This window comes from Homo sapiens, chromosome 12 (assembly GCF_000001405.40).
Source record: "Homo sapiens chromosome 12, GRCh38.p14 Primary Assembly".
NCBI classification, from domain to species: domain Eukaryota; kingdom Metazoa; phylum Chordata; class Mammalia; order Primates; family Hominidae; genus Homo; species Homo sapiens.
In genome coordinates, this window is record NC_000012.12 from 120,489,168 (window position 1) to 120,502,856 (window position 13,689).

General features: G+C 46.9%; 1 protein-coding gene and 1 long non-coding RNA gene across 4 annotated transcripts in view, besides 4 other annotated features; one reads left to right on the plus strand and one right to left on the minus strand.

The window, feature by feature from the left end:
* The window catches only part of DYNLL1 (dynein light chain LC8-type 1), a 28,652-nt gene extending 19,326 nt beyond the window's left edge, over positions 1 to 9,326 (plus strand). Inside the window, exons 1-3 of one of the 3 annotated variants that reach the window (NM_001037495.2) lie at positions 6,946 to 7,049; positions 7,235 to 7,386; positions 8,906 to 9,326. In NM_001037495.2, the coding sequence (NP_001032584.1) occupies positions 7,255 to 7,386; positions 8,906 to 9,043 (270 nt within the window). In that variant the 5' untranslated portion in view covers positions 6,946 to 7,049; positions 7,235 to 7,254 and the 3' untranslated portion in view covers positions 9,044 to 9,326. Of the gene's footprint in view, positions 1 to 6,945; positions 7,050 to 7,234; positions 7,387 to 8,905 lie in introns of those variants that run through there. The other 2 variants (NM_003746.3, NM_001037494.2) reach the window with 2 other exon arrangements.
* Positions 1,171 to 6,779, minus strand: NRAV (negative regulator of antiviral response). Its single transcript, NR_038854.1, has 2 exons — positions 6,656 to 6,779; positions 1,171 to 2,943 (listed from the first exon to the last, which is right to left on the minus strand). It is a non-coding gene; the product is annotated as a negative regulator of antiviral response (long non-coding RNA).
* Positions 6,490 to 6,539: a silencer, noted in NCBI's record as "silent region_4952". NCBI's record gives its function as "represses an Ori minimal core promoter by ATAC-STARR-seq in GM12878 lymphoblastoid cells {active_cell/tissue: GM12878}" and the evidence as "EXISTENCE:reporter gene assay evidence [ECO:0000049][PMID:35858748]".
* Positions 6,604 to 7,270: an enhancer, noted in NCBI's record as "H3K27ac hESC enhancer chr12:120933574-120934240 (GRCh37/hg19 assembly coordinates)". NCBI's record gives its function as "activates a minimal SCP1, AML or CMV promoter by ChIP-STARR-seq in primed H9 embryonic stem cells {active_cell/tissue: H9 hESC(primed)}" and the evidence as "EXISTENCE:reporter gene assay evidence [ECO:0000049][PMID:30033119]".
* Positions 6,604 to 7,349: a biological region, named in NCBI's record as "H3K27ac hESC enhancer GRCh37_chr12:120933574-120934240".
* Positions 6,830 to 7,349: a silencer, noted in NCBI's record as "silent region_4953". NCBI's record gives its function as "represses an Ori minimal core promoter by ATAC-STARR-seq in GM12878 lymphoblastoid cells {active_cell/tissue: GM12878}" and the evidence as "EXISTENCE:reporter gene assay evidence [ECO:0000049][PMID:35858748]".
* Positions 9,327 to 13,689: the final 4,363 nt, after the last annotated feature.

A 13,689-nucleotide genomic window follows, 5' to 3' on the forward strand; every position in this document is an offset into this window, starting at 1 on the left:
GTGATCTCATCCAGTCCCATTGCTTTAAATGTCACCTATAAGCTGATGACTCTCCAAATTATAGCTCAAGGCTGGCCCTCTTCCCAGAACTCATATATCCAACTGCATATTTGACATCTCCACTTGGAATATCTAATAGGCATCTCAAACTTAACATGGCCAAAGCAGAACTTCTTGTTTCCTCTGCCAGACTTCCCCATCTCAATCTATTCTTCTCATTGTTCAGCTCACAAGTCTGGAGTCATCCTTGACTGCCTCTGGTTCCCTCCTATTCTGCATCCAATTGCTCAGCAAATCTGTCAGCTCTACCTTCAGAATACATCTGGAATCTGGCCATCTCTGCCCTATCTCTGCTACCACCTCCTTGTCCAAGCCACCATTCCTTCTTACCTGGACTGCTGCAATAGCCTCTAACTGCTCCCACCTCTCTCGCTGCTCCCATCAGCTTCCCCACCTTCCATCCTCATGCAGTAGCCAGGTCATCAAGTCTTGGCTCAAATGGTGCCTTCTCAGAGAGGTCTTCCTAGAAAACTCTTTAAAACAAGACCCCTCACCCAGCGATGCTTGGTTCTCTTAGTCTACTTTTTTAAATTTTTTTGAGGTGGAGTCTCTCTCTGTCACCCAGACTGGAGTGCAGTGGCGCGATCTCAGCTCACTGCAACCTCTGCCTCCCAGGTTCAAGCAATTCTCCTGCCTCAGCCTCCCAAGTAGCTGGGACTACAGGTGCACGCTGCCACGCCCAGCTAATTTTTTGTATTTTAGTAGAGACGGGGTTTCACCGTGTTGCCCAGGCTGGTCCCGAACTCCTGAGCTCAGGCAATCTGCCCGCCTTGGCCTCCCAAAGTGCTAGGATTACAGGCGTAAGCCACCGTGCCTGGCCTATTCTACTTTATTTTTATCCATTGCCCTTATCAGAGATAAATATTTTTGCTTGTTTTTATCTTTATTCTCCTGCTATAAGTTCCATAAAAAGGAAACTTTGCCTATTTTGTTCTCTTGTGCATCTCCAGCACCTGGAACAGGGCCTGACACCTAGCTCTCGCTCAGAAATCTCCCCAGAGTCATAAATGAAGGGCTAAATGAACTCTGAAAGAGTTTTGGAGAGTCAGATTTTCTCCCAGTCAATGAATCAGGATCTTGATGCCAGAAATCAGATACCAACTACCTATTTTCTTGTTTGGAGCCCTAGAATAATTAAGAGTTAACACAAGACCACTTTGCATATAATTAAAGAGTGACACTGAGGTCACCTACTGAGTCACAGAGGCCTTGTTAGCTCCTAGAGCAGACTACAGATCCCGCCTCTTAGTCTACACCGGAGCTAGCCGCTTGATCTGTAATTGTTGCTCTTTCCGTTCCTTCATCTGCAAGTAGGCCTGCCTGCCTTGTGGCCTTTACATGGAGCTGTGAGCTTGGGATCTGTGACATTCAAATTCAGTCCAGATTGTTTAGGGTGGTGCTTTTCAACTGCTGGGGAGTGATTTCACCCTCCAGAAGACATTCGGCACCATCTGCAGACATTTTTGGTTGTTGAAACTGGGGGTGTGGTGTGATTGGCATCTAGTGGGTAGAGGCCAGGGGTGCTGTTAAACATCCTCAAATGCATAGGACAGCTCCCCACAACAACAACAAAAAAAACTTTCTGGCCCAAAAGGTGAATAGTGCCAAGGTTGAGAAGTCCTGGTCTACAGGAACACTAATGATAAGTGGTAGCTAGCATCACTGATCTTTGCCATGTGCCCAGTACTGCACCACATTCTCTATGTGTATCATCTCACTTAATCCTCACATTGTCCCTGAGAAACAAGAACTCTTATAATCCCCATTTTACAGATGAGGAACCTGAGGCTCAGAGAGGTGGACTCACTTGTTTAATGTCACATGGCTTAGTAGGGACAGATGCACACCCAAGGCTGCCTGGCCTCAAAGTCTGTTCCTTTAATGTCTATTCTGTGTTGCTCTGCCCTCTGACTGAGAGCTGAGGGGGCCTGTTAGTCCTCTCTGGTTGTGTCTTCATCTGCTGCCCCTGTGGACAGGAGAGTGTTGGTCTACTCAGGCGGTGCTTGACTATTAGCCAGAAGGGAGGTTTTCTTTCCCTGAGTTGTCTCAGCCTTTCTGGCCTCACTCTCCCTGCACTGCAGTACAGTCCTTGGCTCCAAAGCTCAGCTCCACTGCCAGCCCCAGGCTGGTGCCAGCCCTTCTCCATGGGGTGGAAGCTTCCGGATTCAGACCTAGGCCTTGCAATCTCTCCCACAGGGTGCCTTCTTTCTGGATGGGGTCTTCAATCAACTCTGGGACCTGCAAGGTCACCTCACACTTCCTTTCAGATAAGGGAGGGTTAGAGCTGCTAGGGTGGTCACAGGACTCATGGTTCAAGAAAGTACTCAAGGTTCCAGAAAGCTAGACAAGTGATTGCTGGACTGGGCTGGGAACAGAGTGATCCTGGGGCAGTAGTGAGGAACAGGCCACGGTCCTACTTGTGGATGAGGTGAGGAGAGCTGCAGACCCCGTAAGGAATCCCTCAGCCTGCCTGTGAGTAACAACTCTGAAGGGCTTTCTGAGGGCCCTGGGAAAGTCTGATGACCGGAGCTGAAAGGTGATTCTGTCCAAGGAAGATCACGATGGCCAAGAACCAATGTAGGGTCAAGTTTCAGGTGTCTGTTGCGGAGGAATCAAGGCTGAAGTACTCTGAACTATCCATCCTTTCTTCCATCCATCCAACACATATTTAGGGAGCTCCTGCCAGGGGCCGACGATGCTTAGTGTCTCCAGCGACATTACTCTGTTCGGAGGCATCAACTCCTTTTGTTTAGGTGTTGCTCGGAGGTTCCATCTACCATGTGGGACTGTAGAGTCAGACCAGGATTCACATCCCAGCTCTGTCACTTTCTGTCACTGACTTTAGGCAAGAGACTTCATCTCTTTGAACCTCATTTTCTTCATCTGTATAATAAAGAGACGAACAGTTCTTACCTTGTAGAATTGTTATGAGAAGCCAATGAGATAATGTGTCTAAATGTCTGGTACATGGTAAGGTCTCAATATACAGTGGCAATAGCTACTATTTATTATACCGTGGCTAGGTCTCTAGATGCATTATTTAATATAATCCCTGCCACCAACCTATAACGAAGATGTGATCTCCATTTAAAAATCAGGAACCTACGAGGTGGGTGGATCACCTGAAGTCTGGAGTTCGAGACCAGCCTGGCCAACATGGTGAAACCCTGTCTCTACTAAAATACAAAGATTAGCCAGGTGTAGTGGCAAACGCCTGTAATCCCAGCTACTCGGGAGGCTGAGGCAGGAGAATCGCTTGAACCCAGGAGGGTGAAGTTGCAGTGAGCTGAGATCGCACTACTGCACTCCAGCCTGGGTGACAGAGCAAGAGTCCGTCTCAAAAAAAATAAATAAATAAAAATAAAAAATAACAATCAGGAACCTGTGCCTTGGAGAGGTTAACTAACTTGAAGGAGCTCATAGCTTAGGTTGATTCCAAAGCCCGTGCTCTCAGAAACATTAACCCCTAGTTATAATTTCCTGTGGCAAGAATGAAAAATGCAGGTTTTCAGGCTTAGAAGGATTTTTAAGCAAGTTTATCAGGCAGGAGTAGATATAGTAAGTTGCCAAAATGTGTGATGCTACAGAACCCCATATGGGCCACTTCAGGGGGACCTGGTGAAGGAATCTCACATTTATTCTAGGAGTCTGGGTTATTGTAGAAGAGTTTTTTTTTTTAATCCTCCTTAGGTTCTGAATCCCTTTATGAATCTGATGGAAGCTAAGGATCCTCTCTTTGGAAAAATGCCTGTAAGCACTACATACATTTTTGTGCATAATTCCAGAGGGCTTGGAAAACCTTTGCAATCCGGTCGTGGACCCCATTTAAGAACCCTCCTCGAGGGTAGCATTTTCCAAGTGCAGGACACATATCACTCATAGTGTCTGAGATCAGTTTAACAATGCAAAAACAAATGTTTTATATTCTAATATTTATATTTTATAGTTACCTTCTATTTATGGCCAATGAGACTGGCTTTCCATTTATGGTAATGATATAAATTTGTCTTTTAAAAGCATACTTATTAGGCCGGGTGCGATGGCTCACGCCTGTAATCCCAAAACTTAGGGAGGCCAAGGCAGGCGGATCACTTGAGCTCAGGAGTTCAAGACCAGCCTGGCCAACATGGCAAGACCCTGTCTCTACAAAAATAGAAAAATTAGCCGGGCATGGTGGTGTGCACCTGTATCCCAGCTACTCAGGAGGCCAAGGCAGAAGAATCACTTGAACCCAGATCGCGCCACTGCACTCCAGTCTGGGCGACAGAGTGAGACTCCATCTCAAAAAAATAAAATAAAATAAAAAGTATACTTATTTAAAAAATAAAGGGAGTTCAAATAAAATTATTATATAGAATATTATATACAGTATTATTTTTTATTTTTTATTTATTTATTTTTTTTGAGAGAGTCTCGCTCTGTCTCCCAGGCTGGAGTGCAGTGGTGCGATCTCGGCTCACTGCAAGCTCAGCCTCTGGGGTTCACGCCGTTCTCCTGCCTCAGCCTCCCAACTAGCTGGGACTACAGGCGCTCACCACCACGCCCGGCTAATTTTTTTTTTTTTTGTATTTTTAGTAAAGATGGGGTTTCACCATGTTAGCCAGGATGGTCTTGATCTCCTGACCTCGTGATCCGCCTGCCTCGGCCTCCCAAAGTGCTGGGATTACAGGCGTGAGCCACCACACCCGGCCATATAAGGTATTATTAATGAACAATTACATTACTATATTATGATGATAGTATTATTATAGTAAAAATTAAATAAATAATAACAGGGGTAGTGTAGTGTAGATATGGAAAAAAATCATGAGGATGATTTAGGAAATTTCCCTGGGGTTTCTACTTAGTGGAGTCACCGTGGCTTTACTTTAGTGTCATTTGCATTTCCAGGGTCCTCACTTGTTGTCAACCTATTTCTTCCTCAAGAGAGGTACTATAGTAATATTATAACTCCTCAAACCCTGAATCTCATCATTAGAAACATGGAACTGGAAAAAGCTGTTGATTTAATTGATATGCATATGTTGAACCTGAAAAGGTTCTAATTATTGCCATTTTTTTCCTTTTTTTTTTTTTTGAGACGGAGTTGCCCAGGCTGGAGTGCAATGGCGCGATCTCGGCTCACTACAGACTCTGTGTCCCGGGTTCAAGTGATTCTCCTGCCTCAGCCTCCTGAGTAGGTGGGATTACAGGCACGTGCCACCATGCCCAGCTAATTTTGTATTTTTAGTAGAGATGGGGTTTCTCCATGTTGATCAGGCTGGTCTCAAACTCCTTACCTCAGGTCATCCACCCGCCTCGGCCTCCCAAAGTGCTGGGATTATAGGCATGAGCCACCGCACCCGGCCTATTCCCATCTTTTTCTTTCTGGAGTTGTGTGCCTCTGCTCAAATTGTTTTATTTTTATTTTTTGAGATGGGGTTTGGCCATATTGCCCAGGCTGGTCTCCAACTACTGAGCTCAAGCGATCCCCTTGACTCGGCTTCTCAAAGTGCTGGGATTACAGGTGTGAGCCATCATGCCCAGCCACAAATTGTTTTAAGGAGTAATGAGAGTAGATGGTCAGAGGAAAATGTAGAAATGTAAATAGGAAGCTTCCAGATACATGATTAACCTGATAACTTATTTATGGAGGTTCGAAAAATACATTATAGGCATTTCAGAGCTGGTTGTTCAAAACCTTGCTGTGGCCTTTGGGATAGTTGTATAAACTGACAATTATTGATAAGATTCATTGATCATTTACTATGTGCCTCACATTGTGCTGAGAGAACTTCAAATGTTTAATACTGCTAACAAGCGTATGAACTGGTTTCCTTTTACATTTAGTCCTCCTTTACTTAAAGAAGACATTCAAATAGCTAGTAAATGACAGTGCTGGGATTTAAATCCAGATCTGACTTGTCCCTCAACTCCCCCAAGATCTTGCTTTTTTAACCACTTCGTGTCTCCTCCCTAAGCCAGAGGGGACGTCATCTCTCTAACGGCCGCTTTTTCGTCCATTAGAATACCTCCTCCTCAGAGATAAATCCCAACCAAGAATCTCTCCCACACAGGAAAGACTGCCTCACCTGAGCAAGAAGCTTCACCCTGGACAAAAACCCCGGGGCTCAACACTCCCAAATCCACCCGGATCCCCATCCCCAACCCCTTAAAGGATGTCCGCATTGCTTGGCAGAGACCCCACTCTTGGGGATAATCCCTTAATTCGTAAGGAAACACCCTCCCTCCTTGAAGCCCTCCCTCAATCCTGAGGATGCCCTCCCCTAAATATTTCAGAGCAGAACCGACTACAAATGGGGCCCAGTGCAAAATGAAAACGTAAGGGTCCCTCCTGTGAGACTGCACTGCTGGTTTACCCACGAAGCCGGCCCTGCTTCAGAGATACCCTTTCAGTAAAGGGAGAGGCCACCTCTGTCGTAATCCTGCTAACCTGGGGTGCGAGATCATGCGACCTGTCGTGGTGGGGGGGCGGGGGGGTGGGGGCAGGAATGGCCACCAACTTCTAGAGACTGTTGTTCGAGAACACACCCTGGGACAACCTCCGTGAATTTGGAATCACTTCCCTTGGCCCCGGCAGAAGCTCCCTTCCTACCTCTCCAGACAGCTGGGTGGTCCTCGTAACCCGGCCGGGGCTCCACCTTCTGGGTGTGTGGGCCTCGTAGCGTGCGGCCCATTGCCCGGGCAACCGACGCCGTGAGCGGTGCATTGTGGTCTGCAACAAAATGCAGGAGAAAGATCCTGAGGGAACCATGGAGTCAATGGACCAATGGAAGAATGCCGTGGGCTGCGTCAAGCCAATAGGGTCGCGCGGCGAGGGGCGGGGCCGGCGGGAGCAGGGCGGGGCCTGAGCACTAGGCGGCGGCGGCTGGCGTGGGGCTGCTTAGATGCGCCACGGTTTCGGTAGCGACGGTATCTCTAGCCGGGCCTGAGCTGTGCTAGCACCTCCCCCAGGAGACCGTTGCAGTCGGCCAGCCCCCTTCTCCACGGTGAGAAACTCGGGGGGCCAGGGGGTGTCCTCGCTGCCTTATTTCGCCCCACTCCGGACTTAGCCCTCCGCGTAGCCCGCGCTTCCTGAGAAGTGGGGTGGGGGGCGTCGTCCCGTGGTGGCGCCGGCCGGGGTGGGGGCAGTTAGTGCCTGGGGGGCGCGGCCCAACTCAACCCCTTACCCCAGGCCTTGCCCACTAGGTAACCATGTGCGACCGAAAGGCCGTGATCAAAAATGCGGACATGTCGGAAGAGATGCAACAGGACTCGGTGGAGTGCGCTACTCAGGCGCTGGAGAAATACAACATAGAGAAGGACATTGCGGCTCATATCAAGAAGGTGAGGATGGGCGCGGGGGCCGATACGCAGCCGGGAGCAGGGGGTTCCTTCCCCCCGATCCTGCTTTCCTAAGGGCGCCTGACAGGTCCCGGGAATACTGCTGGCGGCTTGGGGCGTAGAAGCTTCCAGAAAGGACGCAGATGCATTTTGCGCTCCTGTGGAGAAGACCAGACCCCCGGCGTCCGAAGTTTTTTTTTTTTTTTTTTTAATTACCCAGCTCCGCGGGGGGAAAGCGCCACCTAGCAACGGTATCTAAGATCAGGGAGCAGCGGTTCCCCCTTCTGTGTGGTTCCTGCGCCGAGGATCCATCTGGGTGTTCCGGAGGGGGGAGCTGCGTGGGTGTTTCCAGCCGGGCCGGGAGGAGATCTTGCCAGCCTTCCAGTGGGGAGTTGAGGGAAGGTGGTGGGTGGTGGCGGGGCTGGGGGCTGGGGTAGGGGCTTGGTAAATGGCAGTCTAGAAAGCCGGCAGGACTGCCAACTTCTCGAGCAGTGTTTGCTGGAAGGGAAGAAAGCTGGCAGCCTAAGCCGTGGGAGGGTTCCAGTCGAGAATGGGAAGATGAAAGACTTCAGATGGAACAGAAATAAATGCCTTTTTTGACAAACGCAGCAGTGCGTGCCTCTAGCTTGCAAGAGCGTTACTCCCCTTCATAGCTTTAAAAGGTTTTCGCACTGCGTGCAGTTAGAGTAGCTAAATCTTGTGTGACGCTCCACAAACACTTGTAAGAATTTTGCAGAGAAAGATAACCGTTGCCACCCAATGCCCCCCACAGGCATTCTACTCCCCAGTACCTCTTAGGGTGGGAGAAATGGTGAAGAGTTGTTCCTACAACTTGCTAACCTAGTGGACAGGGTAGTAGATTAGCATCATCCGGATAGATGTGAAGAGGACGGCTGTTTGGATAATAATTAAGGATAAAATTTGGCCAGTTGACAGATTCTGTTTCCAGCAGTTTTTACAGCAACAGTGGAGTGCTTCAGTATTGTGTTCCTGTAAATTTAATTTTGATCCGCAATCATTTGGTATACAATGCTGTTTGAAGTTTTGTCCTATTGGAAAAGTCTTGTGTTGCAGGGGTGCAGTTAAGATCTTTGTGATGAGGAATGGGATGGGCTAATTTTTTGCCGTTTTCTTGGAATTGGGGGCATGGCAAATACAGTAGGGTAGTTTAGTTCTCTACACAGAACATGATAAACTACACCTGTTGATGTCACCGTCTGTCAATGAATATTATAGAAGGTATGAAGGTGTAATTACCATAATAACAAAACACCCTGTCTTTAGGGCTGACCTTTCGTCCTTTGACCTCCTCAGCCTCCATTCCCATCTTCGCTCAGACTGCAAGTATGTTTGTATTAATGTACTATGTAGGCGGCTTGGAGCTGGGGAACATTCTTTCATTCTAAGAATTTGCAGATGCTGACGTTCCTCCTTTCTGCCCCTACAGGCTCTGGCTTATCCAAGAGGCAAACACTGACCTCTGGTAATTAAAATCCTAGTTCTTTTCTTTTGTCTTTTCCAGGAATTTGACAAGAAGTACAATCCCACCTGGCATTGCATCGTGGGGAGGAACTTCGGTAGTTATGTGACACATGAAACCAAACACTTCATCTACTTCTACCTGGGCCAAGTGGCCATTCTTCTGTTCAAATCTGGTTAAAAGCATGGACTGTGCCACACACCCAGTGATCCATCCAAAAACAAGGACTGCAGCCTAAATTCCAAATACCAGAGACTGAAATTTTCAGCCTTGCTAAGGGAACATCTCGATGTTTGAACCTTTGTTGTGTTTTGTACAGGGCATTCTCTGTACTAGTTTGTCGTGGTTATAAAACAATTAGCAGAATAGCCTACATTTGTATTTATTTTCTATTCCATACTTCTGCCCACGTTGTTTTCTCTCAAAATCCATTCCTTTAAAAAATAAATCTGATGCAGATGTGTATGTGTGTGAATTACAATTTGTTCAAATAACAGCGTTGAAGACGGTCACTTGATCAGATGCCCAGGTTGGTGGGGATGAGTCCATCCTTACAGAAGTTAAGTTTCTGTGGGGTATTTCAGTACTCTTTAGTCACATTCTCTCACCCATCCTGCAACTGTTGTGCATGTTGAGAAATGCAGTGCATGATAAAGAAACATTTAAATTAAATCTTTAGTCCTAATCTGAAAAAAATCAATGTTTAAGGATATTTGTTAAGACATTGCTATAGAATGTTCTGGGCCTTTGGCCTCAGGTTGTGGTGATGGATGTGTATGTAGTAGTACTTGAAGCTTTCTATGGCTATAAAATGGAAATAAGCTCAAAACAAAGTTGGGATAATGAAATGGATTCCAGGACCCTTGTCTAGCCCCCTCCCCTGCCTAGAAAGAAGGTGGCCTTAGGGGAAAGTAAATGTTTCTGAGCAGCAGTTTTCATGCTCTTCTAATAATGTAAATTCCTGCAAAGACTTTATCAGCCTGCTGTGCTGTGCTTTGCTGTGGTCAGGAACAAGTGTGAATTGATACCTTTTCCTGAAAAGACCCAATTAAAGCTGGGGACAAGTAGCTATCAGAGGTTTCCTGCTATCAATTTTAAGAGGACTGCAGTCGTAGAAAAGCAAATATGGCAGACTTGTAGGTGGAAAGGAAATAAGACAGGCTGGAACAACCCACACCCATCTTGGGAAACTGCAAGAAGGGTCCTGACTTGTAGTTAGCCTATGTTTTCCCATGGATCTCTAAGATGCCATTGGGATTTCTAAGCAGCTAGGTGACTGCTACACAGAAGAGGGCGATAGATTGGAATTGATGGGTGATAACTCCCATTGTAAGAGTAGAATTAGGTCAGTAACATATTTGGAAGTTTATTTTTCTTCAGAATGTGTGGTTTTAAGAATCCTAGCAAAGTTGTGCTACTTTAGGATTGGAAGGGTTTCAGGGTAGAGGTGCAAGATTTTGACTTTTTTAAGACAGAGTTTCGCTCTTGTTGCCCAAGCTGGAGTGCAATGGCGTGATCTCAGCTCACTGCAACCTCTGCCTCCTGGGTTCAAGCAAGTCTCCTGCCTCAGCTTCCCAAGTAGCTGGGATTACAGGCATGTGCCACCATGCCCGGCTAATTTTGTATTCTTAGTAGAGATGGGGTTTCACCATATTGGTCAGGCTAGTCTCGAACTCCTGACCTCAGGTAATCTGCCCACTTCTGCCTCCCAAAGTGCTGGGATTACAGGCGTGAGCCACCAAACCTGGCAATTTTGACTATTGTGCCAGTTTTTTCCCTGCTGTCTGCAAAAAAGGATGAGGTACTGTGGAATAAACAGGAGACTGCAACTGGGGTAATTTTATGTTTGTATTTATATAAACAGACCGAAAATGTTCCTTTTTTCTAACTTTCATTTTTTTTGAGACTCCTATTGCCCAGGCTGGAGTGCAGTGGTGTGATCATAGCCCACTGCAACTTCAACCTCCTGGGCCCAAGTGATCCTGCCACCTCAGCCTCCAAAGTAACTGGGACCATAAGTACATGCCACCATGCCTAGCTAACTTTTGAATTTTTTGTAGAGCTGGAGTCTCCCTGTGTTGCCCAGGCTGGTCTTGAATTCCTGGGCTCAAGCAATCCTCCCAAGGTGTTGGGATTACAGGTACGAGCCACCACACCCGGTTTAATTCATATTTTTTCTTTTTTTTTTTTTTTTGAGACGGAGTCTCACTGTCGCCCAGGCTGGAGTACAGTGGCGCGATCTCGGCTCACTGAAAGCTCCGCCTCCCAGGTTCACACCATTCTCCTTCCTCAGCCTCCCGAGTAGCTGGGACTACAGGCACCCACCACCACGCAAGGCTAATTTTTTTTGTACTTTTAGTAGAGACGGTTTCACCATGTTAGCCAGGATGGTCTCGATCTCCTGACCTCGTGATCTGCCCACCTCGGCCTCCCAAAGTGCTGGGATTACAGGTGTGAGCCACCGAACCTGGCCTAACTCATATTTTTTCTATCCCTTTTCCCTCTTTAGTGACCTGGCTATATTTCTATTTGAAGCCCACAGGGAATTTGGCCTCCAAAGCTTTAGTTTGTCCAGTTAAGCCCTACTCAGAACGGATGATCTGTCTCTAGCTACAGACCCAAAAGCTGATTCAAGACTGATAGCTAGACACTGGGAGTTTTAGTTGAATATGATCTGTCCCATATTTACTGTCAAGTTGGCAGCTTTTTTGTTTTTTTATTCAGATGTGAGAAAACCATGTTGCTATGGAGATAAGACTGGGTTGATGGTTTATGAAGCTCCTTCCAGTGCCTGTTCCTTCCTGTTAATTTCAAAAGCCAATAGGCTCCAGCTGGCTGAAAAGAAAATGTAAGCTAAGTTTTTCTAAGCATTTATCAAATGCTCTTAGCTGCTGTTCTTTGAGAGAGTTGTATATAGCTAGCTCTATCTAGAAGCTTTTTAGTGACAGGGCAAGATCTTGTAAGTGAAGGCACGTAAATGATCCTTACTGTGCTGGGTCAGGAAGCAGCGTATCTGAAGCCCTTTCACATACCTTTGAACTATGTTATCCACAAACTGTTAGCCAAGTCACAGACTGATTTCTGCAATTCATTTTTGAGACAGGGTCTCACTCTGTCACCAAAGCTAGAGTGCAGTGGTGTGATCTCGACTCACTGCAACCTCCGCCTCCCGGGCTCAGATGATCCTCCCACCTCAGCCTTCCAAATATCTGGGACCACAGGTGTGTACCACCACATCTGGCTAATTTTTTATTTTTTGTAGAGATGGGATTTTGCCATGTTGCCCAGGCTGGTCTCGAACTCCTGGATTCAAGCAATCTGCCCTCTTTGGCCTCCCAAAGTGCTCGGATTACAGGCATAGGCCACTGTGCCGGACCAATTTCTGCAGTTTCTTAGCAAGGCCTCTTTAAAACCTTATGATTCATCCACACTCAAAATATTTATGGCTGGGTGCAGTGCCTCATGTCCCAGCACTTTGGGAGGCCAAGGTGGGAGCCCACGAGTACGAGAGCAGCCTGGGCAACACAGGGAGACCCTGTCTCTAGTAAGAAAAAAAAAATTATGGCAGCCAGGTATGGTGGCTCACACCTGTAATCCCAACACATTGGGAGGCTTGAGGTGGGCAGATCACCTGATGTCAGGATATCGAGACCAGCCTGGCCAACATGGTGAAACCTTGTTTCTACTACAAATACAAAAATTAGCTGGGCATGGTGGTAGGTACCTGTAATCCCAGCTACTTGGAAGGCTGAGGCAGGAGAATTGCTTGAACCTGGGAGGCGGAGGTTGCAGTGAGCCAAGACCACACCACTGCACTCCAGCCTAGGTGACAGAGGGAGACTCGGTCTCCAAAAAAAAAAAAAATTACAAATTAAAAAATTAACCAGGCACTATGGCGTATGCCTGTAGACCCAGCTATTTAAGAGGCTGAGGTGGGAGGGCTGCTTGAGCCCAGGAGTTTAGGCTGTAGTGGGCTATGATCAGGTCACTGCACTCCAGCTTGAGTGACAGAGCGAGACCCTGTCTCTTAAAAAAATTTATGGCCTCATTTTAACATCAAACAGTGGACTGTATTCAGGGAGAAGTTTAGAAAATGACAAGGCCAGGCGCGGTGGCTCACGCCTGTAATCCCAGCACTTTGGGAGGCCGAGGCGGGCGGATCACGAGGTCAGGAGATCGAGACCATGGTGAAACCCCGTCTCTACTAAAAATACAAAAAAATTAGCTGGGCGCAGTGGCGGGCGCCTGTAGTCCCAGCTACTTGGGAGGCTGAGGCAGGAGAATGGCGTGAACCCGGGAGGCGGAGCTTGCAGTGAGCTGAAATCGCGCCACTGAATTCCAGCCTGGGTGACAGAGCGAGACTCTGTCTCAAAAAAAAAAAAAAAGAAAAGAAAATGACAAAAAATGAAAAAGAAAGACAACAGTAGACTATAACAAGGAGACAAGAAGTCTGCTCAGCTCCATCTCTGAGTACTGAAGGTTAGCTTACATCATTTTCAAACTTTTTTTTTTTTGCTATAAAACAAGTGTACTCTTACAAAAAAGCTCCCTATATAAGACATGAAAGCAGGATTTTGCTGGTACATTTATTTTCCAACAAGGACTTAGTGAAAAGGTTTCTTTCTTTTTTTTTTTTTTTGAGACAGAGTCTCTCTCTATCACCCAGGATGGAGTGCAGTGGCACGATCTCGGCTCACTGCAATCTCTACCTCCTGGGTTCAAGTGATTCACCTGCCTCAGCCTCCTGAGTAGCTGGGATTACAGGAGCACACCATCATGCCCAGCTAATTTTTTGTATTTTTAGTGGAGACAGGATTTCACCATGC